The sequence below is a fragment of the Homo sapiens genome, chromosome 1, assembly GCF_000001405.40.
Source record: "Homo sapiens chromosome 1, GRCh38.p14 Primary Assembly".
NCBI classification, from domain to species: domain Eukaryota; kingdom Metazoa; phylum Chordata; class Mammalia; order Primates; family Hominidae; genus Homo; species Homo sapiens.
In genome coordinates, this window is record NC_000001.11 from 111101166 (window position 1) to 111103792 (window position 2627).

At 43.6% G+C, this 2627-nt stretch overlaps 1 annotated feature.

The window, feature by feature from the left end:
• Positions 322–1521: an enhancer, noted in NCBI's record as "MED14-independent group 3 enhancer chr1:111644109-111645308 (GRCh37/hg19 assembly coordinates)". NCBI's record gives its function as "activates an origin of replication core promoter dependent on BRD2, BRD4, P300/CBP and CDK7 cofactors, and independent of MED14, by STARR-seq in HCT116 cells {active_cell/tissue: HCT116}" and the evidence as "EXISTENCE:reporter gene assay evidence [ECO:0000049][PMID:35650434]".

The following is a 2627-nucleotide window of genomic DNA, read 5'->3' on the forward strand; positions in this document are numbered from 1 at the left end:
TTTGTCTTTGTTGAATTGGGTTAATTCGAAGACCTTGTCTTCAAGCTCTGAATTTATTTCTTCTACTTGTTCAATTGTATTGCTGAGACTTTCCAGAGCATTTTGCATTTCTATAAGTGTGTCCAATGTTTCCTGAATTTTTTATTATTCTTTAAGCTATTTCCTGGAATATTTCTCCATTCATTTCTTATATCATTTTTTTAGACTTCCTTGCATTGGGCTTCACCTTTCTTTGGTGCCTGATCAGCTTAATAATCTCCTGAATTCTTTTTCAGGTAAATCGTGGATTTCTTCTTGGTTTGGATCAATTGCTGGTGAACTAGCGTGATTTTGGGGGTGGGTGTTAAAGAGGCTTGTTGGTTTTCTGATTCCTTCTCATTTGGGTAGGCTGTCAGAGAGAAGGCCCAGGACTGAAGGCTGTTGTTCAGATTCTTTTGTCCCACAGCATGTTCCCTTGATGTAGCACTCTTCCCCTTTTCCTATGGATGTGGCTTCCTGTGAGCAGTACGGTGATTGTCTCTTTTCTGGGTCTAGCCACCCAGCAAGTCTACCCAGCTCTGGGCTGGTACTGGGGGTTCTCCGCACAGAGTCCTGTGATATGAACTATCTATGGATCGCTCAGCCATGGATACCAATGCCTGTTCTGGTGGAGGTGGCAGGGAGTGCAATGGACTCCATGAAGGTTCTTAGCTTGGTGGTCTAATGCTCTTTTTGTGCTGGTTGGCCTCCTGCCAGGAGGTGGTGCTTTCCAGACAGCATCAGCTGTGGTAGTATGGAGAGGAACCCATGGTGGGTGGGGCCCTAGAACTCCCAAGGTTATATGACCTTTGTCTCCAGCTACCAGGGTAAGCAGGGAAGGACCATCAAGTGGGGGCAGGGCTAGGTGTGTCTGAGCTCAGACTCTCCTTGGGTGGGTCTTGTTGCAGCTGCTGTGGGGGATGGGAGTGAGGTTCCCAGGTCAATGGAGTTGTTTCCTAGAATTATGGCTGCTTCTGCTGAGTCATCCAGGTTGTCAGGGAAGTGGGGGAAGGCCAGCAGTCACAGGCCTCACCCAGCTTCCATGCAAACCAAAGTGCCGATCTCACTCCCACCATGCACCCCCTAACAGCCCCGAGTCTGTTACCAGGTGGTAGGCAAGCCAGGCTTGAGAACTTGCTCCAGGCTACCTGCCTCCCAGTTGCGAAAGGGCTTGGTTCTTCCCCTGCCTGTGGAGTCTGCACACTGGATTCACACCCTTCCCCCGAGTTCTGGCCAGGAAACTTCTCAATCCATTCAAATTATTACAAAGTTCAGCTGGAAACTGCCTTCTCCCTATGGTGCTTATCTCCCCACCTCGCCCCACTCCTCTGGCCACCCTCCTGATGGATTCCTGTGGTGCCAGGTAGGACTGGCCTGCTTGGGAACCTGGCAAGCTCCCAGGGCCTTTCTGCTGCTTCCTCTACCCCTGTATTTTGTTCAGCTAAGTTGACTCACCCCCAGGTTAAGGTAGGAAACCTTCTGCAAACAGACCTTCAGTTTCTCCAGTGGGGGTGTGTGTTCAGAAGAGGAGACTCTCCCTTTCCCACTTCCACAGTTGGGGCACTCACAAGATCTGGAGTGTCTTGTGGGTCTTGCAGGAGCAGTCTGCTTCCTTCAGAGGTTCTGTGGGTCCTCTCAGGATTGCTGGTTCATTCTTGCAGTCAATCTGGCACTAAAATTCACAATGTGAGCCTCTGCACACTGTTCTGTCCATCCGAGTCAGAGCTGCAATCTAGTCCTACCTCCTGTCCGCCATGATGACCTGCCTCTCCCTTGCAATTTTTAGACCCAAAAATGTCTTCCTATATATTTGACTTACAGATTTAAGTTGGCAATATCTTCTTTTAGGTCTCTGAATGAATCACTACCTTCATTACCTTCTACTTTCTGCTATTTCCGTTAGGAAATCACTTTTGAGTCTTATTTTCCTCTCTTAATGATAATGTATCTCTTCTTCCATTATTTTAAAGAATTTCTCCTTGACATTGATTTTTAGTAATTTTAGTATGCTGTAACTCAGTATGGTTGACTTTCATTGACATTACTTTATAACATTTTTTTGAATTTTGGGATTTCTTTCTTTGGTCTTGTATCATTCTTTAGCCAGTATTTCTTTAAGTACTGTTTTACCCTATTCTGTCTCCACCATCCTTCTTCACTCCACTTCTTCAAATTTTATATTCAATTAAATATTCTTCAAATATTATAATGAGAAATAAAATATTTCTCATTATATCCAATGCATCTCTTATAATGCTTCATTTAAAATCATTTTTTTGTCTCTCTGCAACTCCACCTAAATATTTTCCCCAACAAATCTTTCACTTTACTACTACTCTTTCCTCTATGTCTAATGTGTTTTCAAATGGATACACTAGTTTCTTAATTTTAATTGCCAAATTTTATTTCTAGAATATCCATTTGATCGTTTGTACGACCTCCAGTTCTCTGCAAAACGTATTTGTCAATCTTGTTATTTCATTTTAACATCCATGTTTATTAATTCCATTATTTGGGTTTCCTTGGGGGTATAAAATGGTTCTTTGGGTAAGTCTTGTTTTCCCATATACTCAAGTGGTTGCCAGATATTTTATTATCAGATGAAATGC